At 57.0% G+C, this 21,699-nt stretch overlaps 2 protein-coding genes, 1 long non-coding RNA gene and 1 pseudogene across 8 annotated transcripts, besides 6 other annotated features; 2 read left to right on the top strand and 2 right to left on the bottom strand.

Annotated features, from left to right (window-relative positions):
* Positions 1-20: 20 nt before the first annotated feature.
* On the bottom strand, positions 21-2,739 carry LOC100287808 (uncharacterized). Its single transcript, NR_149004.1, has one exon. It is a non-coding gene; the product is annotated as an uncharacterized LOC100287808 (long non-coding RNA).
* PCGF2 (polycomb group ring finger 2) lies at positions 1,981-17,875 on the top strand. Of its 6 annotated transcripts, XM_017025016.2 has the most exons (12): positions 1,981-3,312; positions 3,465-3,577; positions 3,802-3,894; positions 11,331-11,482; positions 12,091-12,187; positions 12,520-12,575; positions 12,655-12,705; positions 12,912-13,020; positions 13,178-13,232; positions 13,325-13,420; positions 15,603-15,683; positions 16,173-17,875. In XM_017025016.2, exons 4-12 carry the CDS (start codon positions 11,371-11,373, stop codon positions 16,548-16,550), a joined length of 1,035 nt encoding a protein of 344 aa, XP_016880505.1. In that variant the 5' UTR covers positions 1,981-3,312; positions 3,465-3,577; positions 3,802-3,894; positions 11,331-11,370; the 3' UTR covers positions 16,551-17,875. The 6 variants fall into 6 exon arrangements, with proteins under 6 accessions (XP_016880505.1, XP_047292616.1, XP_047292617.1 ...); XM_047436660.1 differs by lacking the exon at positions 3,802-3,894; XM_047436661.1 differs by having other exon boundaries at positions 3,465-3,894.
* Positions 3,304-3,839: an enhancer, noted in NCBI's record as "NANOG-H3K27ac-H3K4me1 hESC enhancer chr17:36904187-36904722 (GRCh37/hg19 assembly coordinates)". NCBI's record gives its function as "activates a minimal SCP1, AML or CMV promoter by ChIP-STARR-seq in primed H9 embryonic stem cells {active_cell/tissue: H9 hESC(primed)}" and the evidence as "EXISTENCE:reporter gene assay evidence [ECO:0000049][PMID:30033119]".
* Positions 4,868-5,632: an enhancer, noted in NCBI's record as "H3K4me1 hESC enhancer chr17:36902394-36903158 (GRCh37/hg19 assembly coordinates)". NCBI's record gives its function as "activates a minimal SCP1, AML or CMV promoter by ChIP-STARR-seq in primed H9 embryonic stem cells {active_cell/tissue: H9 hESC(primed)}" and the evidence as "EXISTENCE:reporter gene assay evidence [ECO:0000049][PMID:30033119]".
* Positions 5,633-6,398: an enhancer, noted in NCBI's record as "H3K4me1 hESC enhancer chr17:36901628-36902393 (GRCh37/hg19 assembly coordinates)". NCBI's record gives its function as "activates a minimal SCP1, AML or CMV promoter by ChIP-STARR-seq in primed H9 embryonic stem cells {active_cell/tissue: H9 hESC(primed)}" and the evidence as "EXISTENCE:reporter gene assay evidence [ECO:0000049][PMID:30033119]".
* Positions 8,761-9,661: an enhancer, noted in NCBI's record as "H3K27ac-H3K4me1 hESC enhancer chr17:36898365-36899265 (GRCh37/hg19 assembly coordinates)". NCBI's record gives its function as "activates a minimal SCP1, AML or CMV promoter by ChIP-STARR-seq in primed H9 embryonic stem cells {active_cell/tissue: H9 hESC(primed)}" and the evidence as "EXISTENCE:reporter gene assay evidence [ECO:0000049][PMID:30033119]".
* On the bottom strand, positions 16,168-21,432 carry CISD3 (CDGSH iron sulfur domain 3). The gene is made up of 4 exons (NM_001136498.2): positions 21,367-21,432; positions 20,978-21,013; positions 20,334-20,453; positions 16,168-18,497 (listed from the first exon to the last, which is right to left on the bottom strand). The coding sequence occupies exons 1-4, from the start codon at positions 21,412-21,414 to the stop codon at positions 18,318-18,320; spliced, it is 384 nt and encodes a 127-aa protein (NP_001129970.1). The 5' UTR covers positions 21,415-21,432; the 3' UTR covers positions 16,168-18,317.
* Positions 16,323-16,850: an enhancer, noted in NCBI's record as "H3K27ac-H3K4me1 hESC enhancer chr17:36891176-36891703 (GRCh37/hg19 assembly coordinates)". NCBI's record gives its function as "activates a minimal SCP1, AML or CMV promoter by ChIP-STARR-seq in primed H9 embryonic stem cells {active_cell/tissue: H9 hESC(primed)}" and the evidence as "EXISTENCE:reporter gene assay evidence [ECO:0000049][PMID:30033119]".
* On the top strand, positions 19,853-19,971 carry RNA5SP440 (RNA, 5S ribosomal pseudogene 440; annotated as a pseudogene).
* Positions 20,099-20,636: an enhancer, noted in NCBI's record as "H3K4me1 hESC enhancer chr17:36887390-36887927 (GRCh37/hg19 assembly coordinates)". NCBI's record gives its function as "activates a minimal SCP1, AML or CMV promoter by ChIP-STARR-seq in primed H9 embryonic stem cells {active_cell/tissue: H9 hESC(primed)}" and the evidence as "EXISTENCE:reporter gene assay evidence [ECO:0000049][PMID:30033119]".
* Positions 21,433-21,699: the final 267 nt, after the last annotated feature.

Genomic DNA, 21,699 nt, shown 5'->3' with positions numbered 1-21,699 from the left:
TTTTTTTTTTTTTTTTTTGTCTTTTGGGTTTTTTTTTTCTCCCCGGAAGATAAAAACCTAAGCCTTTTACTCAAAAGCCAAATTTTGCATTGAAATGGCAGCAGCAATACTTTTTCTAGGAGAATCACTGTTCTTGAAAATTCTTTGCTGCTCAGTCAATAATGGGATAATTTCTCCAGCACTTCCCTCCACACCCCCCCAACCCGCCTCCAAGCTAGATCGCAGGAAACCTAAAGACACAGGTTTTTGTCTCACTGTGCATGCAACACGTTTCAGGATGCATTTTTTCATAGGATTAAGAATGAATTTACAGTGGAGGTTCGACAGTTTTCTATTGTCTGCCTCAATCGATATTACAGTCTCCAAATACTACATTTGGAAGGGAAGAGAATGAGAGAGACACAGAGAGAGAAACAAGTATGAAGAGAAACAAAGGTGAGAAAGGGAGAACATTGTTGTGATACAGGGAAAGAAGGGACGTGACAGAACTAGGCAGGGTGGGTAGGGGAAGACCTCAAGACAATGGAGAGTGGGAAAATAGACGCATTTAATATTAGAAGCATCAGAAAAAAAGGAAAACAACACATTTTTTCCCCCTAGAACTACACAGGGAGGTGGGGGAGGAAGATGGGGAAATAGAAGGAGAAACTGACTAAGGACCTTGTTTGGGGGAGATAAAAGGTATAAAGGACACAGAGGTAAAGACGTTCCGGAAAGCTCTAGAGGAGCCGCCCTCTCCTGTCTCGTCACCATTTTTAAAGGGATCTGATCCTCGCAATAGCTCTTGGTATATGCTGGAGGTAATTGCCTAGATTTCCCGCGTTCCTGTCCTCTGCGAGTCTCTGGCTTGTGACAGCCACTGTGACTCTTCTGATGCACTTGTCAGCTAGAGGACCGCGTGAGATGCAAACACAAAATCAAGGGGCGCCTAATGTCTGACGAGGCGCATTCCTGGGCGCAGTGGGAGCCTCGACCTTTGTGGAGGAGAATGTGCAAAGCACTCTTGAGCAGTTCTCATAGACACTTGGTCTCTGCAGATTCGGCTCAAAGGAGGCCTCTTCTGGAAGCCCACCCCAGTACTCACCCACCCTTAGCGGGAGCTCACACCAGAAGCGATGGGCGCTAAAGGGACAGGCTGTGTGTCCTTCAGGGTTTGCACCCACCGGCCTGTGAGCGCCCTGCGCAAAAGCCAGGCTCCTGTGCCTTGAGTTCCCAGTTCCTAGCGCAGTATTTGACACTGGCACATGACAGGTGCTTTCTATGTCGGCTAGTAGTAGAACAAAAGACTAGGAAACTCTTTCGATGTGGGAAGAGTTGGGTCAGAAGGTTCTCCTGAGAAACCAGAAAGGCCAGGAATGTGGAGACTAGTCATCCAGGACGCAAAAGATGAAAATGGAGTTTTAGTGGGTAATAGGGTCTTAGCACACTCCTCTCTAGCGGTTCTCTCCTGTCTGGCGCTTAACAACCGAAGAATAAGTGGATGGACCCCGGTGGCCCCTCGGGCAGCCCTCCAGGATTCATGGGCCGCAGAGGAACGTCAACCCCCTTCCCACTGGCTGATAATGCCCCGAGGGGCAGCCCCCCAGGTGCCCATGTGGTTGGTGGGTGGGATCCAGATCTCCGCAGAGCCCCTGTTACAGGTTTCTCTTGTTCGGGGTCTTGTAGCCAGAGAGGGGCGGCTGACTGGGAGTCCTTCCCGCGTTCCCCTCCCTGCAGAGCGAGTGGATGCGCGTCTTCCCCGGCAGAGTGCAGGATGCCGGCGACACATTTGCCTGGGAACAGTGGGAGGGTCCCCTTTCCTCCGGGGCCGGTGAACTACTCGCCTCTCCGCCTGCAGGCTCCGGAGCAGGTGACCGGATCTTCCCTTGGCCCTTCTCCCGCCGGTTCTCGGACCACTCCCTCTGGAAGGAAGTCTCTCCGCCCTTCCTCTTCCTCCCCGCCCCCGTCCCGCTGGTGTGGCTGCAGGCTCGAGCTGGGGTCACTCGGCGGCCAGTGTGCGCAGGTCTCCTGGTCGCCGGCCAGAGGGCGAAAGCATTCACCCGAGGCCCCCAGCTTCGCGGCTGCCTTGGCTGCGAGCAACGAGGGAAGAGGAGGCAGGCGCTCCAAAACTGGGCGAAGATTCCTATCCTAATTTCTAACTCGAGCCTCCCACCGTCAGTGCGCTTAATGGCGCTGCTGGCCGGATGGATAATCGAGCTCTCTGGAGGGACAGACGCGGCCGCCATCCCTAATAAATCGTGAATAACGAATGAGGGAATCGACCATCCTCATGAGGCCCACGGGCGTCCAGTAACGCAGTATCGATTCGCTTCCCCGGCGTCGGCCTCACCGCTACTCCCGGCGTTTCCAAGCCTCCCTCCTCGTTCTCTCCCTCCTGCCGGAGCCACTGCGGACCGGAGCCCCAGCGCCAGGTGGAGCCGGGGCGCCAGTGGGAGTCGGGCCCAGCCGTCTTGGCGCTCGCCCGACTCTCCCGCCCGCGCGCCCAGGGAGGCGCACAGGCAGCGCGCAGCGCAGGGCGCGAGCGAAAAATGCGGGAATCAGCGCCAGGCAGGAGAAAAGGCGCGGGCCCACCTTACAGCCCGGCGCCTCGTTTCCTAGTCCAGTGTGGCCGCTCGCCTTCGGCCGGATTATTGTGTCCCAGACCCGGAGCCTGAGTTCCCATCCTCAGCGGGCCTCCGTTCTTCTCTGCCCGAGCACGCCGGGGGCGCAGCCTCCGCCAGAGCTACCCGATCCCCCCGCGGCGAGGCCCCCCACCCGGCCTCACCCCGCACCTCCACTCCCCTCTCGCGATTGCTCCCTGCCAGGCGCCCAGGCTGGATCCTGGTGCGCCGCTTTTCGGGGCCAGCGCCCCTGCCGCCGAGGGGGCAAGGGGAGTGGGGAGGACACGCTCGCCCTCCCAGATGCAGTTATTAATTTTAAGGGAGTGTCACTTGGAGTGAATGAAAATCGCTCGGACGCCTGGCTGAAGGCGTCGCGTCCCCCGCCGGAGCCCCGCGCCCTTTGGTCTAGGCCGGGGCGTGGAGGACCACGAGCCACCTTTCAGCCCAGTCCCCATTTCACCATTTTCCAGGCGCCCCAGTTAGGGATGGGCATCACAGTGTCAGTGGGGGGAACCCATATTTTGAAGGGAGGGGGGCTAACTGCGGAAGGTAACATAAGAGAATCCATCCTCCGGGGTCGGGGCGGCCGCATGGGAAGGGAGGGGTCTCGTCCTGGCTAGGGACCCGGCAGCCGGTGGCGGGGAGCGGCCGCGCCAGCCTCCCCCTCCTCTTCCCGTCTCTGCCAGCATCCTGAAGGAATGAGGTCACGTGGGTGAGTGGTGGGCGGGACCTACTCTTGTCTGGAGGAAAAAAGCCATTTTGTCTCCCCCCCACACTCCGGTCCCTCCCCTCCCCCCTCGGTCCCCTCCCCTCCCCTCTCCCTCCCACCCCAAGCCGCTTTCACAAACTCCTTTCTTACCGTAGGTTTCTCCCCTCCCGCCGCCCGGGCGAGCGACACGGCTGCGGCCCCCCTCCCCTCCCTTCCCTCCCTCCCTCCCATCCCCCCCTCCCCGAGACCCACCGGACCCCGAACCCAGGTAAGCGGAGCGGACTCCCCCTGCCTTTCCCTCTCCTGGCCTGTAACCCTCTGGGGATTGGGATGGGGGCCGGCCGTTCTTCGCAAGCCCCGATGGGAGGGGGAGGCTCTGAGCCGATCCTGCCTTCGCACCCCCCGCGCCCCGTCAGTCCCTAGCCCAGCTTGCCCCGTCCGCCTTTCTTTCTCCCTTTTTTCTGTCCCTTTTTCCCTTTCCTCTCTTCCAAGATGGCCGAAACGGGCTCCCCGTCTTAACGATTTGGCGTCTCCCTCGACCACCACCTCTTTGTGCAGCAGCCCCCGGGCAGACCCTGTTCCGAGGTAGCGAGGGGGAAGGTCCGGGGCAGCCGGGAGGGCTTGCGGGATGCGCGCTGGGTTGGGTCGCCGCTCCCCACGAGCCAAAGCCGCCTCTCGCTCTGCCCGGTCTACCCCCTTTTCCATCTGGGCGGGGGTCGCTCTCCCGTGGGCACAGGGGCGCCGTGGACGCGCGGGGACTTGGGGCCGGCAGAAGGGGATGTGCTTTGGGGCGGCCGCGAGGCCGGGGGAGGGCGCCCTTCCCCGCCGGGGTCCGGGTCCTCTCGGGCACCTCCCCCCGCCGGTCCCCGCTCCCCGTCCCGGCGCCGGCGCCCCGCCCCCTCCCCGAACCACCTCAGCAGAGCCTCCCTCCGGAACACCCCTCCCGGGGCCCCGCAGAAAGTTTGGCTCTAGGGAAGGTGGGAGCGGCCACCCGGTAACTGGGGTCCCTGATCCTTGGACATGGGCTCCTGGGGAAGCCCGGGCGCTGGGGGTAGAATGGGGATGGAGGGAAATTTATCGCAATATTTCCCATCGCCAGCGGAAGCAGGGGGATCTGCTAAACTGGCCCCCCTTCCCCTGGGACGCCCAGCCACCCCACCCTGCGCACGCCCTCCTACTGCTAGCTCTGAGGGCGTGGGACCCCCGGGCAAGCAGACACCCCCTGCCTGTCTCCACGGTGGGCCCGGGCTGCCCCTCGCCCTCCCCCACTGCCCCTGTCTGCCCATAATCGCTCCGGTTGGCTTGAGGTGGGAGGAGGCGGCATGGAGGCGGGTGGATTTGCCAGTGAATATTGTGGAAGTGTTACCCAGCGCTTCCCGAGATCTTTGTCCCTCAGTGTCCCCCATGCTGCCTCAGTCTCCCCAGAGGTCTGTCTCGAGGGGAGGGCTGTCTCCTGGTTGTCCCCTCCCCGCTCTGTTCTGATGCCTCCTCCTCTGGGACCTCTGGCAGTTTCTGTTCCTGAAACTCTTTAATTTCTCTCCTCCCTCCCCCCTTCACTCTGGTCCAAGGTGTTATTACTGGGAGCATAAAGCCAGCTCTGTTGCAGCTTTTTGGTGGGAAGGTTTTCCCACGGGCTCCCCTGGTTGGGGGTTGGGGGATTGAGGCTTTAGAACTGACTTTGGAATGAAGCAGGAAACCAACCCCAGGATCCAGACCATGTGTAGCTAGGTAGGGTTCAAGTTGAAGTCTTGGGGGTTGGGCAGGAAGGGGGACTCTGCTGCCCCTGGCCTTGCCTGAGAGATCTTGGTTGATGGAGCTGTTGTCATGGGAATGGAGAGAGCCCGAACAGGAAGAGGGTACAGCTTTGTGCAGGTCACATGCCCACTGCAGCCCTCCAGCCTCTGGTCCCCAGAGCGGACTTTGGAAGCTGAACTGCTTTTGTTGCTGGAAGACTTATGTTATAATTTACCCTGGGTGGACCAGGGTCGTACAAAAGGTTAGTGTGTGTTTGCAGGGTCTGTTTCCAGGCAGGGATGTCAGGCTGTGTGCTTCTAGGTGGGGGGTGGATGTGGATGGCTTCTGCATGTAGCGAGGGTGGGCCTGGCTCTGGTCTGGCTGTGATTGTGTGTGTGTGTGGCGCAGGGTGGGGGAGGGTTGTGGCGTGTCTATCTGGCCTTGTGTGTAGTGAGTGTGAGAGGTGGAGGGGGGTGTGTCTTGCTGTATGTGTGTGTATCTGGCAATGTGTATATTTTGGGGTTTTGCCTTTGTTTGATCTTAGGGAGTTGAGAGGTGGGAGAGGGAGGAAGGGAGGGTTGAGTAAGCCCAGCTTCAGGAGGCCCTTTTCAATGCATGGTGGGGACAGGGGAGCAGATCTTTGTGCCATTGTCAAGGATTGGGGAAAGTTGGGAGGTTCACAGTGTCCCTAGGCAGACCCTCACGGCCCCAAACACAAATACAAGGGGCTTGCGCAGTTGGACCCACGAAGCTGGGAGAGGAACAGAGTCATAAAACCCCTGGTCTGAGTCTTGATGCTGTACTCTGGCTGGCTGTGCTTCCCTGCAGCCTCTGTTTCCCTATGTGTAGGAAGTGGGGTAAGGCAATTAACATGTGCCTCCTCTTCCTGCCTCAAGGCAGGAGTCCATGCTGATGGTCATGTTTGGGCCAGACTGACTCCCTCCCAGACGGCGGCCCACTGAGTGGTTTTCCCGCCACTCCAGGGAGCTGCTCTTTTCCCCTCCCACCTGCTGGGATGAAGCCGGGCATTACTGCTTTAGATGAGTGAGGAGCCTGGCCAGGTGCCAGGATGTTAAAAGCACTGGGGTGGGAGTCAGGCACTTTCTTGTCACAGGACTGCCACTGCTTTGCTTTGTGACCTTAGACAAGTCACATCTGAGTGTGCTCATCTGTAAAATGAAAGGATTGAACAGGTGCTTCTTTTTCTTTTTCTCTTTTTTTGAGATGGAGTTTCTTTCACTCTGTGGCCCAGCTTGGAGTGCAGTGGCACGATCTCCACTCACTGCAACCTCTGCCTCCCAGGTTCAAGCAATTCTCTGGCTCAGCCTCCTGAGTAGCTGGGATTACAGGCGCCTGCCACCATGCTCCGCTAATTTTTGTATTTTTGTTTGTTTGTTTGAGACAGAGTCTCGCTCTGTTGCCCAGGCTGGAGTGCAGTGGCGCAATCTCGGCTCACTGCAACCTCTGCCTCCTGGATTCAAGCGATTCTCCTGCCTCAGCCTCCCGAGTAGCTGGGACTAGAGGCGCGTGCCACCACACCCAACTAATGTTTTGTATTTTTAGTAGAGACGGGGTTTCACCATGTTAGCCAGGATGGTCTCGATCTCCTGACCTCATGATCCGCCCGTCTTGGCCTCCCGAAGTGCTGGGATTACGGACGTGAGCCACCATGTATTTTTAGTAGAGATGGGGTTTCACCATCTTTGCCAGCCTGGTTTTGAACTCCTGACCTCATGATCCATCCGCCTTGGCCTCCCAAAGTGTTGGGATTACAGGTGTGAGCCACCACGCCCAGCTGAACAAGGTGCTTTCTAAAAGCCCTTTCACCTCTGCAGTTCTAGACATCTGGATGTGACCTTGAGTGACTTTTCCCAAGACCTGGAGACATTCTAGTGAGGGAGTGGGGCTGATTTCATTTGGAGGCAGGGAGAGCAGAGAGAGCTATGGCATCAGAGAAGCACAGGGGCCTTGGGGCTGGGAGACCCACTGTTTCCACAGGGGACCATGAAGAAGTGAGAGAGGCCTAAATTGCAGGGTGGCTTCCAGAAAGACACTGGTTAAAATGGAGAGATGGGTCTGGGTGTGGTGGCTCATGCCTGTAATCCCAGCAGTTTGGGAGGCCGAGGCGGGCAGATCACTTGAGGCCAGGAGTTGGAAACCAGCCTGGCCAACATGGTGAAACCCTGTCTCTACTAAAAATACAAAAATTAGCCAGGTGTGGTGGCACACGCCTGTATTCCCAGCTACTTGGGAGGTTGAGGCAGGAGAATCGCTTCAATCCAGGAGGCGGAGGTTGCAGTGAGCCGATATCTTGCCACTGCACTCCAGCCTAGGAGACAGAGTGAGACTCCGTCTCAAAAAGAAAAAAAAAAGAGAGAGAGAGAAAGAGATGGTGGTGTTTTCTTAGCAGGGGTCTTTAAGGATTGGGAAAGACAAGTGCCAGGCTTGAATGGCAAAGAGGGGTCGGGGTTGGATGCTGGGTGCTGAGCAAGCTCCCTTCCTGCCACATTAGCAATAGCCAGACCCAGGGCCTCAGGGCCCAGAATGTGGGCTGCCTAAGGGTCACACACACCCTTGCAAAGACAATGGCAGAAGACACTGAAGGGCTTGGCTTCTGCTTGGGGAAAAGTGGTGTTAGAGGTGGAGGCAGTGCTCAAGTCCAGGGAGGGGTGGACACACAGTTGGGACTGACCTGTTAAAGCACCTGAGCTCTGCAGAGGCCACTTCCAATGGTGCTTGGCCTCCCCTTTCTGTTTCTTGGGATCTGTGTCTCCCACTCTTTCTCCCTCGAGTTCTTCCCATCTCCCAGCCTCTTCCTCAAAGTAATGACAGCTGGATTTCCAGTCACCCATCACCCCTTTTTCCCTCACCTTCTCACAGCACACCAGCCAGTGCAGCGGGGGAGGAACTGGGTATCAGGAATTCGCGGCCTGGGGCCTCCTGGGGTGGGGAGATGGGGAGAGGGTGCTCTAGGGAGTCAGAGCTCCTGTTTACATTGCTCTTGGCACCTGCTGGCAGGGCCCTGCAGGTAACCATGGCAATCAGGTGAGGAGCCAATCAGTGCTTCTCCCCACCCCCAGCCCCAGAGGTAACAGTCAGAACCTGTGGGGATGGAATGAGGGGAGCAGGGAGTGTGGCAAGGGGCTTATTTTCTTAAACTGGAGAAGGAGCAGCGTTTCATTCAGTCAGCACCACCTTGGGCCTCGTGTCTAGAAAGGGTCCAGAGGAACAGGCTGGGGCTGAATTCTCAGAAATGCTCGGGGAAGTGACTGGGTGAGGGGTACAGCCATTCGCAGTGTGGGGCTCTCGGCTGTGGGGTTCTTCTTAAAAGCAAGTGTCAGCCGGGTGTGGTGGCTCACACCTGTAATCCCAACACTTTGGGAGGTGGAGGCGGGCAGATCACTTGAGGCCAGGAGTTCAAGGCTGGCTGACATGGTGAAACCCCATCTCTGTTTAAAAAAAAAAAAAAAAAATTAGCCAGTGTGGTGGCATGCACCTGTGATTCCAGCTACTCAGAAGGCTGAGGCACAAGAATCACTTGAACCCGGTAGGCGGAGGCTGCAGTGAGCCGAGATCGCACCACTGTACTTCAGCCTGGGCAACAGAGCAAGACTATCTCAAAAAAAAAAAAAAAAGAGCAAGTGTCTGCTTTGAAAACACAGCGAGTGTGTGAATGAGGTGGCTCGGGCACGATGTGAAGTGTGCGGAGCCTACATGTGTATGTGTGTGTACGCGTGCATGTGTATATGAGGGTGAACGGGAGATAGATGAGGGCATGCGATTTACCCCAGCAACAGAGACCCCAGGCATTATCAGAGCTCAGCATCAGCATGTTTGTTGGTGGCTCTGCACACACACATAGATGCATCTGGACACACATATGACTGACAGGCAGTCACAGGAAGTACCTTTGGAGGCCCAGATGGCACGTACACAGGATGGATATTACACACGCTCAGAGAGACAGCCACTTGGATTGTTCTCTCCTCTGGATGGTTGTAATAATATTTGGGCATCTTGCCAGGGACAGGGTTACTATGGAAACGACCAAACAGTGGAGTATCCAGCAGCTTTCTGCGTAATTGCAAAGGGGGGACCCATGCAGGGAGGGCTGGCCGAGGCCACCCTGCGTGGGGTGGGAACCCCTCTCCCTTCTCAGATCCCCGGGGCCGCCACCTCTCCGCCATGTCTCTGGGCTTGCTGTAGGACTGGCTTGTGCCCCTCTGTCTGCCCTGTAACCTGGTGTCTCTCCCACATGTGGCCTTTGTGTCTCTGCATCTCTTTCGGTCTCTGGCCAGGTTCCCTGAGCCTCTGTTGGCTGTCTGGGTCCTGGCCAGACTCATCCTGGGGTCTCTATAGAAACTGCTGATCCCGGCTGTGAATTTCTTGTCCTAGAAAACTCAGTGTGGTGGCTTTAGAAATCTTTCTGGAAAGGAGAGAAGGGTGTGAGTATGTTGTAAAGGAGCTGTTGGGGCTTGGCCACCCTCCCAAGCCCCACCCCTGGGCTTTTACTCTGGGAAAGAGGAGGGAGGGCTGCTGTCCCTTCCAGGTGCAGGTTTGGTTTGATTTCTTTACCAAGAAGGAAGCACGGTGGCCAATCCAGAGCCGGACTTTTCACCTCTCTGGACCCTGCCCGGGCCTGGCTGGTGTCGAGCAGGCGGTCTGGGGACAGAGCACTTTCTGCCCAGCTTTGGCAGGCATCTGTGAGAGCCTGTGGTTTGTCACTGGACAGCCTGTGAACAGGTGGCAGAGGCGTCACCAGGGCAGGAGACAGTGGGAGAGTAACAGTGACCATGTGGGGGGGATTCCTGCATTGTGTATGAAAGGGGGGTTCCTGGACCCTGTGTGCTTGTGGACAGGGAGCACTCATGCAGGCGGCTGTCCATCAGGGACACTGGCAGGGATTCCTGTGGCAGGGGTATAGCCTTTTTGCCTAAACTCTTTGAGTCCAGGGCTAGGGCTGGAGCTGCACGTTCCCAACTTCAGGCATGTAAGGACCCTCTCTGTTCCCTGCCTGAGTCTCAGGCCTGGAAGCCAAATGATTAGCGTATGGTGGATTTTCTGGGAGCAGCCTATATTTGGCAGACTTTAGAGGAGGGAGGTGCTCCAAAGCTTAGGCTGGATGCAGAGCCAGAAGCACAAGTGATGGCTGCGGCCTTCTAACTTAGGGTAGCCTGTGTCCATGGTGTTTCCAGGGAAGACTTCCTGGAGGAGGAGTGAATGGATGGAGTAGATAGGAGGCTGGGACGTAGTGGAAGGATCAAGTCTGAGGCCCTGCACCTGGGTGGAGGGGTTGAGGGAGTAAGGATAACTTATTTTTCCCTTCTTCTATTCCTTGAAGTTTCAGGCCAGTGGCTGCTTTATCTAAGTTTCCTCCTAGTTCCTAGGATGCTTTAAATGTGGACCATGTGAGTGAATACGGATTGGGATTGGAGAGTTTTGTTTTTGTTTTTCTTTTTTAGACAGAGTCTCGCTCTGTCGCCCAGGCTTGAGTGCAGTGGCATAATCACGGCTCACTGTAGCCTCGACCACCCAGACTCAAGGGATCACGTGAGGCAGGAGGATCCTCCTGCCACAGCCTCCCAAAATGCTGGGATTACAGACATGAGCCACTGTGCCCGACTTGGGATTGGAAAGAGTTTTAAAAACCCTCTTCTTTTCCATTTTCCTGCCTCCTCACATTCTCTGGGGAGTTGGGCAGTACATCCTGTGGCCTAACTTCAGTCTTTCCTCCTGCTTCTCAGAGGAAGCCTAACCTTGTTGCTCAAGGCTGTGTGACTCTCCAGAGCCTGGGCACCCAATGAACTCTCAGAGGTGGCCAGAAAGAACCAGCCACATGTACACCCCCAGCCCACCCTGAAGGCAGAGAAGGGTCTTGGGCTCAGGGAGAGATGTGCTGGTGGGGGGAGGTGTGGAGTGAAGCGTAAGAGGGGCTGCCGAGGCTCTGGGTTTCTTTTTTCTTTTCTTTTTTGAGACAGACTCTCACTCTGTCGCCCAGGCTGGAGTGCAGTGGCATGATCTCGGCTCACTGCAAGCTCCGCCTCCCGGGTTCACGACATTCTCCTGCCTCAGCCTCCCAAGCAGCTGGGACTACAGGTGCCCACCACCATGCCTGGCTGATTTTCCGTATTTTTAGTAGAGATGGGGTTTCACCATGTTAGTCAAGATGGTCTCAATCTCCTGACCTCGTGATCCGCCCGCCTTGGCCTCCCAAAGTGCTGGGATTACAGGCGTGAACCACCGCGCCCGGCCAACTCTGGGTTTCTGATTCCACTTCCGTTTCCCAGGGCAACGCTCCCCAGTCCCCCCACCCCCGACCCCGGAATCATGCATCGGACTACACGGATCAAAATCACAGAGCTGAACCCCCACCTCATGTGTGCCCTCTGCGGGGGGTACTTCATCGACGCCACCACTATCGTGGAGTGCCTGCATTCCTGTGAGTTGGGGGGAGGGGAGCTGCTCAGGGTGGGCAGCCTCTGTGCCCAGATTGGGGCGGGCACGGCCTGAGGAAGGTAGCACGCAAACCCTTGCCCTAAAGAGCCAACGCGCCCACGTGTCTGCTGGGAATCCTTAGGTCACAGAGGGCCTACCTCGCAGGGGCGACTGGGCGCGGGGCATCAGCCCAGAAGTTCATTTCAAGGACTCACATCTGAAATCTCAGTTCTTTCTTGAAATGGCTGAAATTTTATGCCCTGAAGACGCGGACACCCCTTGTTTGCACTGTGGGCTTGGCAGCAGGGGGGTGGGACTCAGAGGCATCTTGAACACGCTGGCTTTTGTCCCCCACTCCATCGGGGAGCTTGGGACTCAGGGCTGACCTTCTGCATTGTACATGACACTGGCCTGTCTCACACAAGATCCAGCTTCCCTCAACAGTGCACAAGGACAGGTACCACACGTGCAGAACACACATCGCCACATTGGGCCTCGGAGCAGGGACAGGGTGGAGGAGGAGGGATATCTGAGTCTGAGCAGAGGGCGGGGAGGCTGGTCCTGGAGTTGGAAGTTGGCTCTGACTCTCCTCTCTCTCTCCACACCCCCAAGTCTGCAAAACCTGCATCGTGCGCTACCTGGAGACCAACAAATACTGCCCCATGTGTGACGTGCAGGTCCATAAAACCCGGCCGCTGCTGAGCATCAGGTGGGCTTGGCACGGCACCTCCTGTCCCCGCGATCCTCTGGGTCAGCCTCCCCCATCCCTCCCACGCTCCGTGCTTCCTTCAGCCAAGGCGGCAGGTGTAGGAGAAGCATGGGGTGTGGACCTGGGCTACTCCCCGACCTTGGGGTTACATTTGGCTCATCACAGGGTGAGGCATACTAGAGGGGCAAAGACCAGACCCACAGGGATCCTAATGCCTGGGCACCGGTCTCAGGAAGGGGGTGGGAAGAGGGGTACCCTGGCTGGGAGAGCAGGGCGAGGTCGGAGCGCTCTGGAGAAGGCATTGCTGATAAGCCCTGTCCATTTTTCCCCAGGTCTGACAAAACACTTCAAGACATTGTCTACAAATTGGTCCCTGGGCTTTTTAAAGGTATCTGCACTCCATTCCTCCTCCACTGACCCCATTTCCCAACCCATGGCCCTGTCCTCATCCTGCTGCCTTCTTCCAGATGAGATGAAACGGCGGCGGGATTTCTATGCAGCGTACCCCCTGACGGAGGGTGAGTGTGCTCGCGTCTGTTTGTGTGTGCACAGTCTTGCCTGGGACCATGTAGGTGTGTAGCGCTACCCCTCACCCTCTGACCTCCTCCGCGCACACCTCTCCAGAAGGTGGCTGGGCTCACCTGGCTGAGTTCATGATCTCTGGGTCCTTGGCGGGCTCCCTTCCTACATCCTCCGCCAACCCGAGAGCTCTTTCCTTCTGCAGTCCCCAACGGCTCCAATGAGGACCGCGGCGAGGTCTTGGAGCAGGAGAAGGGGGCTCTGAGTGATGATGAGATTGTCAGCCTCTCCATCGAATTCTACGAAGGTGCCAGGCAAGTCTGGCCCAGGCTGGCCCCTTCTGGGTTCCTAGTCTGGGTAACCCCTTCTCCCACCCAGGACCCTCTCTGGATGTGTCCATTGAGGGATCATCCTCCTGGGTCTCCTGGTTCTTCCTGGGTCTTCCTAGCTTCATTCTTTCTCCGTCCCCAGGGACCGGGACGAGAAGAAGGGCCCCCTGGAGAATGGGGATGGGGACAAAGAGAAAGTGAGTGCTGGGGCCTGCCCAGGACTGGAATGTGGGCTGGGAGGGAGTGGCCTGGGGTGGATCCCCTACCATGGGTGCCTGTGCCCCAGCAGACAGGGGTGCGCTTCCTGCGATGCCCAGCAGCCATGACCGTCATGCATCTTGCCAAGTTTCTCCGCAACAAGATGGATGTGCCCAGCAAGTACAAGGTGGGTCCCTGGGCCTTTCAAAAAATGAGTGTCTGTGTATGGGTGTGTCAGACAGTCTGTGCAGCCCAGCCATTGGTCAGAGCTGGCTAGGTGTCACCCAGGGCTTGCGCGGTTAACTGAGCCCATGCGTTAACAGAAGGGTGGTTGAAACCAAGATTGGGGGCAGTCTAGGGGTGTTGAAGTCAGTGTGCAGTGGTGCATGGGACCAAGACGGTGTGTATGTGTGCATGTTGCACACTCGGAACTGTGGCAGAGGTGAGTGCAAAAAACGCAGGGCCTCCTCAGGCTGGTTGGCTGTGGGAAGGCTAGTCTGAAATTCCAACGGAGCTCCAGGACATAGCTTTTCAAGCTTGAATGTATATGTGTCCCCTGGAGATCTTGTTAAAATGCAGATTCTGATTTATTTAGTAGATTCCATATTTCCTTTTTTTTTTTTTTTTTTGAGATGGAGTCTTGCTCTGTCACCAGGCTAGAGTGCAGTGGAGCGATCTCGGCTCACTGCAACCTCCGCCTACCGGATTCAAGCGATTCTCCTGCCTCAGCCTCCCGAGTAGCTGGGATTACAGGCGCCTGCCACCACACCTGGCTAATTTTTGTAGTTTTAGTAGAGACAGGGTTTCACCATGTTGGCCAGGCTGGTCTTAAACTCCTGACCTCGTGATCCACCCCACCTTGGCCTCCCAAAGTGCTGGGATTACAGGCATGAGCCACGGCACCCGGCCAGATTCCATATTTCTAACAAGCTCCTAGGTACTGAAGGTCCATGGATCACACTCTAGGACAGTGGATCCTAAACTGTTGCCTGTTAAATCTCATGAGTTAACTCACATCTTACCAGTTAAGTCAGAATTTCTGGGGGTAAGATGCAGGCATTGATTTTTTGTTTTTGCTTTTTTTGTTTCCCCTTTGTCACGCAGGCTGGAGTGCAGTGGCATCATCTTGGCTCACTGCAATCTCCACCTCCTGGTTTAAAGTGATTCTTGTGCCTCAGCCTCCCAAGTAGCTGGGACTACAGGTACATGCCACCACACGTGGCTAATTTTTGTACTTTCAGTATAGACAGGGTTTCACCATGTTGGCCAGGCTGGTCTCCAACTCCTGGCCTCAAGTGACCCACCCGCTTCAGCCTCCCAAAGCTCTGGGATTACAGGTGTGAGCCACCGCACCTAGCCAGGCATTGGTGGGTTTTTGGTTTTTTGTTTGTTTGTTTGTTTTTTGAGACAGAGTCTTGCTCTTGTTGCCCAGGCTGGAGTGCAATGGCAGGATCTTGGCTCACCGCAACCTCTGCTGACCCCCCGGGCTCAAGCGATTCTCCCACCTTAGCCTCCCGAGTAGCTGGGATACAGGCATGTGGCACCACACCCGGCTAATTCTGTTTTTTTAGTAGAGACGGGGTTTCTCCATGTTGGTTTGGCTGGTCTTGAATTCTCGGCCTCCCAAAGCTCTGGGATTATAGGCTTGAGCCACCGCACTTGGCCTAGGCATTGGTGTTTGTTTTTTGTTTTGTTTTGTTTTTTTTGAGACGGAGTCTCGCTCTGTCGCCCAGGCTGGAGTTCAGGGGCACTATCTCCGCTCACTGCAAGCTCCGCCTCCCGGGTTCACGCCATTCTCCTGCCTCAGCCTCCCGAGTAGCTGGGACTACAGACACCCGCCACCACGCCCAGCTAATTTTTTGTATTTTTAGTAGAGACGGGGTTTCACCACGTTAGCCAGGATGGTCTCGATCTCCTGACCTTGTGATCCGCCCGCCTTGGCCTCCCAAAGTGCTGGGATTACAGGCATGAGCCACCGCACCCGGCCACATTGGTGTTTTTTAAAGCTCCCTGGGTGATTCCATTTTGCAGCTGGGGGTGAGAGCCAGAGTTCCAGGAGATCCCCCTGAGCCTTTTCAGCTCCTCTGGGCGACCTGCCAGAGATAGGAGACCCAGACAGCTGTGTGCATGGTGGGACCAGAGGCTGCTAACAATAGGGGAAACTTCTCTGGAACCCTTCCTGCCTGGTGGTCAGGAGTTATGTTGGAACAACTCTGACAGGGAAGTCAAATCCACAGTGAAATCCCAGAGAAATAAGGGACCATCTGTAAATCCACCCTTCCCATTGCCCCGCCTCCCAGTCCCCCACATTCCCAGCCTGGAGCCCCGAGCTGGCCAGGGTCATGGTGTCCTCCGCTTCCCTCCCCCAGGTGGAGGTTCTGTACGAGGACGAGCCACTGAAGGAATACTACACCCTCATGGACATCGCCTACATCTACCCCTGGCGGCGGGTGAGCCAGCGAGTGGGGCGGGCAGGGAGCAGACTCCCACAGGGTCTGGCATAGGTCTGTGGCCACATGGGCCACCCTTCTGTAATCAGAGACAGTCTGTCCCTTATCCCATGAGCTGCATGTCCAGGGTGGCTTGCTACAGCAGGTCAGCCTCTGGGCCATCTCTTGCGGATGACTTTCCGCTCAGGAGACAAGGCTCCCTGGGCAGACGGTGTCCCCAGATTTGGGGGCAGAAATAGGTGCTGGCAGCTGCCGTGTGTTTGCCTCCCTCTCTCCCGTCTCCTCTCTGACGGAGTCTCTGCTCTTAGACCTTTTCCCTCTCTGGGTCTTCATGCACCCTGTATCCTTGTCTCTCTCCTCTCCAAGGCCCCATCCCATCCCTTTTTTCGAGTTTGGACACTGTGGGGTGGAGATGGTGGCCCTTTAGTTGGACTCTGTCTCCTGATACCTTCCCCTTCCCTGTGTCTCTCCTCCCCACTCTCCCCGCAGAACGGGCCTCTCCCCCTCAAGTACCGTGTCCAGCCAGCCTGCAAGCGGCTCACCCTAGCCACGGTGCCCACCCCCTCCGAGGGCACCAACACCAGCGGGGCGTCCGAGTGTGAGTCAGTCAGCGACAAGGCTCCCAGCCCTGCCACCCTGCCAGCCACCTCCTCCTCCCTGCCCAGCCCAGCCACCCCATCCCATGGCTCTCCCAGTTCCCATGGGCCTCCAGCCACCCACCCTACCTCCCCCACTCCCCCTTCGACAGCCAGTGGGGCCACCACAGCTGCCAACGGGGGTAGCTTGAACTGCCTGCAGACACCATCCTCCACCAGCAGGGGGCGCAAGATGACTGTCAACGGCGCTCCCGTGCCCCCCTTAACTTGAGGCCAGGGACCCTCTCCCTTCTTCCAGCCAAGCCTCTCCACTCCTTCCACTTTTTCTGGGCCCTTTTTTCCACCTCTTCTACTTTCCCCAGCTCTTCCCACCTTGGGGGTGGGGGGCGGGTTTTATAAATAAATATATATATATATGTACATAGGAAAAACCAAATATACATACTTATTTTCTATGGACCAACCAGATTAATTTAAATGCCACAGGAAACAAACTTTATGTGTGTGTGTATGTGTGGAAAATGGTGTTCATTTTTTTTGGGGGGGGTCTTGTGTAATTTGCTGTTTTTGGGGGTGCCTGGAGATGAACTGGATGGGCCACTGGAGTCTCAATAAAGCTCTGCACCATCCTCGCTGTTTCCCAAGGCAGGTGGTGTGTTGGGGGCCCCTTCAGACCCAAAGCTTTAGGCATGATTCCAACTGGCTGCATATAGGAGTCAGTTAGAATCGTTTCTTTCTCTCCCCGTTTCTCTCCCCATCTTGGCTGCTGTCCTGCCTCTGACCAGTGGCCGCCCCCCACGTTGTTGAATGTCCAGAAATTGCTAAGAACAGTGCCTTTTACAAATGCAGTTTATCCCTGGTTCTGAGGAGCAAGTGCAGGGTGGAGGTGGCACCTGCATCACCTCCTCCTCTTGCAGTGGAAACTTTGTGCAAAGAATAGATAGTTCTGCCTCTTTTTTTTTTTTTCCTGTGTGTGTGGCCTTTGCATCATTTATCTTGTGGAAAAGAAGATTCAGGCCCTGAGAGGTCTCAGCTCTTGGAGGAGGGCTAAGGCTTTAGCATTGTGAAGCGCTGCACCCCCACCAACCTTACCCTCACCGGGGAACCCTCACTAGCAGGACTGGTGGTGGAGTCTCACCTGGGGCCTAGAGTGGAAGTGGGGGTGGGTTAACCTCACACAAGCACAGATCCCAGACTTTGCCAGAGGCAAACAGCCTTCCAATTGCCCCTCCACCCCCAGCTGAGGCCCGGTCACCTGGTCAGGACAGAGCAACTGCATCTAAAAGCACAAGAAGACAGAAACCTGTAAGCTCTGACCCCACCCCCACCCCTTGAGAGGTCAGCGGACCACCTCCTTAGGGACAGACCCTGGCAGGTCGCTGCCCACCGAGATTTCCTCAAGTGTGCATAGATCTGAGAGGAGTCGGGAGTCGAGACTCGAGATTCCATCATAGCGTAGGTGTGTGGGGTTGGGAGCCCCCTGATGGGCTTGTCTGTGTTTGCACCTTGTCCTGTGTCTGAGGTCCTGTGACTGTACCCTCCTTTGCCCTGGGACATCTGTATCTCTTGGCTTTGTAATAAATGCTGCATACTTTCTGGAGCCTGTAGTTCTTTGGGGTGGAGGGAAGAAGGGAAGGGTGCCTCTCATCTCTGGGTTTAGCCTGGCTTGGGGACCCCATACAGAATGAATCTGAACTGCCCTCTCCTGTGGCTGGTCAGGTGCCCCCAGCCCACAGAGAGGTTAAAATCTGGAGCAGGAGGCAGCACGTGGGCCTCATAGCAGTGACTGCAGGACTACCAGTCTGGTTGGGCAGGCTTGTTTTTGCCATCTTCCCCATCAGCAAACATTGAACCAGGGCCCACTCCCGCCTGCCCCAGACTGGAGACTTTTAGGTTATAAGGAATAATTCTTCCTTCATGAGCCAGCAGTGGGTACCAGAGTCTCTTGGGCTCAGCACCTGTTTCCTTTCCCACAGAAGGGGGTGCCTGTCAGAGGCCTGGAGCCAAGGCCACCTGTGGCTGGACAGCAGCAGCCCCCTCAGAGTGGGGAGCCCACTTCTGCCTTCTGCACGCGCTCACTCCTGTGGGTGCCATCGCAGTACGGGGGCCTCTGAGTGGCCTTGCAGGTACAGAGTGCCACCATGCGGGTCTCTTGGGCCTTGAACTTGAGTGGAGATAGGCCAGTGCGTTGGAAGAAGTGGGAGCCGTCACAGAAGGGCTGGTGGGGGAAAGACAGGAGTCAAAGACCTGACCCCACCTGCTGGGGCAGGGCAGGGCAGGCTGCAGGAGCTCAGGGGGAGTGGAGCACAGTGGTTAGGGTACAGGCTCCAGAGCAAGACTGCCAAGGCTCACTGAGTGACCTCTCTTATCTGTAATGTGGGGGTGATAAGAGTAGAGTTGTATGAGGAAATAAAATATGATCGTGATGCACTTTGCCTATAGTAAGTGTCTGGTAAGTATTTACAGAGTCTTTATAGCATTAGTCTCTGGGACACCCAGAGGGCCAGGACACTAATAGAGTGTGAGTGTGTGTGTGTGTGTGTGTGTGTGTGTGTCTCTGAGTCTCCACTGGATCATGAAATTCATTTACTTCCCATGTTCCTGGGTTAAAACTTCTTTGGGCTGGAGAGTACACTGTGGTAGCAATTTTGTTTGGCTCCAGGGAATAACTGGGCACGTGACAGGGAGTGAAGGTTACAAGGAGGAGGGGATGCCCCATAGCAAACTGGCTGGCTGGCACAGAAGTGTACTCCCCATCCCAGAAGCCGCTCAAGCAGAGACTGGGTAATGGAAACAGGCCCAGAAAGGTGACATGCCTTGCTAGCTGAAGGCAGAGCTGGTGCCAAGGCCTTTTTTTTTGACAGGGTCTCACTCTGTTGCCCAGGCTGGAGTGCAGTGATGCAAACACGGCTCACTGTAGCCTCAACCTCCTGGGGTCAAGCGGTCCTCCTTCCTCAGCCTCCAGTATGGCTGGGAACACAGGCCTGCCTCCATGCTAGTCTTTGGTGGGGGTAGAGGCATTTGTAGAAGCGGGGTCTCAACTTTGTTGCCCAGACTGTTCTTGAACTCCTGGACTCAAAAGAGCCTCCTGCCTTGGCCTCGCAAAGTGCTGGGATTACAGGTGAGCCACCTCGCCTGGCTGAACCAAGGCCTCTTGACATTGGAGTTAGGGTGGGATGGAAAGGAGATGAGAGAAGCGTGCAAATAGAAACCAGCAACTTGTCTTAGAGGGCTTGAGGTGCATGGACCTAAGTGGGACTCAAGGACCCTGGGCTGCTGACACCATGCCACATAGCTTGAAGGAATACCAGTCAGAGCTCTGCTCAGGAAGGAAAGGGGCCAGGGAGGCAAACAATATGGGCAGGTTCCTGCTGGGACGAAAGGCTCCTGGGCAGAAGGGGAAGCAAGTGGGGCAGGCAGTGAAGCTGAGAAGACAGCAAACTGTGGCAAGCGGCCAGGAAGTCCCATAAACTGAGAAGGAAGAGTTTTCTGGAAGAAGAGTAGAGAGGGGCACAGGGGAAGGCTGGGAGGCTTTGGAGGCAGGAGAGCCTGAGCAGAATCTCTTCCCAATGTGTCTATGGCCATACCACCCTGAATGCGCCCAATCTCATCTGATCTCGGAAGCTAAGCAGGGTCAGGCCTGGTTAGTACTTGGATGGAAGACCGCCAGGAAATACCAGGTGCTGTAGGCTTTTGGGGTTCAAGGCCTGGGAATCTGTGGCCCAGGCGCTTCCTGGAAGGAGACAGGGAAGGGCCAGGTGAGCTTCGCCATGCAGTGCACCTCTGAGAAACAAACAGCTCCAGAAGAGCCCACTGGAAGCCTGGCCACACCAGGCTGGCTGCGTGACTGAGTTTCTGTCTCTCTGGCTTCATTGCAAGGGGTAGATGCAGTGAGCTTAAGGTTGCTGGTGGCACTGGCCTTTTGTTCCCAAGCCCCCTTGGTGTCCCTCAGGTATGTGTGGGAAGAATAAGATCATCCTGGGTGGGAACTCACTGGAGACACCAGGCTGTTCCTAGCCAGAGGTATCAGTAGGAAGGCAGACAGGGGTCTCACCTGCTTCTTGCTGCGGCCACACACACACCACCTGTAGGTTTTCCCTGCCACCAGCTCCACCTTGATGGGGGTCTTCAGGGCCACCACGGACCTGGCTGGGGTTCTAGGGAACCACTGGGCCTGTGGCCAGGGAAGATGAGGGGCTCAGGGTTAGCTCAAGCCCTGGAAGCACCGTCCGGCCTGCGACCCTTCCTAGTTTCCCACTGGCCTGTGTGTGTGGCAGGTTTCCTCTACAAGAGGCTGATCTGATGCCACCCAACAAGACCGTTCCCCAGGACACCATAGGACCGTGAGCTTTGGACAGGGAGATTTCAAAGCCATGCAGGCACTCAGGTTTCAGGGTCCAGCTGCCTTCCCTCAAACGCTGGCTCCCACCTGCGTGCTAGGGAAGGCGGGCTGGGATCCTTCCAGCCTACGGCAGGGCCACCCACACTGGGGCTTGGTTCATTAGGTGCTGCTGTCCTCAGTACAGAAGACTGGCGCCCTGCCCAGTGCCCTCTGGTCCGCCCCACCTCCCTGAGAGCCACGGGCTAACTCCAGGGAATAGGCCTGTACTCTTCCTAGCTCCATTTCCTGTTTCTGCCTTTGAGATCTCCGTGCCTGGGGGTCTTGTGCGAGGAGGAGGGGAGGATGGGGGGACTCACCAGCCAGGAGGAGATGTCCCGCCGCGGGTTCAGGTCCTGCAAGGTACGCAAGCATGGCAGGCATCACAAGACGGTGGTTTGGAAACGGAAAAATAAAATCAGTGGAAAGGGAAGGACACGGGAGGCCATCTAGGAAGGAGGAGGTGACAGGGCTGAAGGGGCGAGGGAGGAATGAGAGGGTAAGAAAAAGGTCGCAAGAGAAGGTGCTGGCTGCGGAGGTCCTGGCAGGGACTGGCGCTCGGGAAAAGCCTGTGAGCTGAGGCAAGCCAGACACCGGCGGGACGGGCCGGGAGCTCCGGGATGCTCGGCCGGGCCGGGGCTGGAGTGGGGGCTGGCAGGGGCCCGGCTGGGGTTCGGGACGGGGGCTGGTGCAGGGCGGGGGTGCTCACCCGGGCACCACGCGCCGCCGGCCGCAGGATCGCCCCCGCGCCGCGCATGGTCGCCTCCCGCGCCGCGCCCGCCCGCTGGCTCCGCCCCCGCCGGGTCACCTCCCCGCCCCCTCGGTCCCCGGCCCGCCAGGCCCCGGAAGACGCCGCGGCGTTCTGCGAGGGCGGAGGCCAGGGGCGGGCGGGGTACGGAAGCCCGACCACGGCGCCCGCCCAGCGGCCTCCTCAGCACGCCGGGCGTGAGCGGTCGGTCCCGGCGCCCCCTGCCGGGCGGGCCTGGCGGTGGAACGCCCCGCGCGCAGCCTCGGCGCCTGGGGCACCCCCGAGGGCGCAGGA

The sequence above is a fragment of the Homo sapiens genome, chromosome 17 (assembly GCF_000001405.40).
Source record: "Homo sapiens chromosome 17, GRCh38.p14 Primary Assembly".
Lineage (NCBI taxonomy): Eukaryota > Metazoa > Chordata > Mammalia > Primates > Hominidae > Homo > Homo sapiens.
Note: the sequence above shows the minus strand (reverse complement) of the source record. Positions and strands in the feature narration are given on the sequence as shown.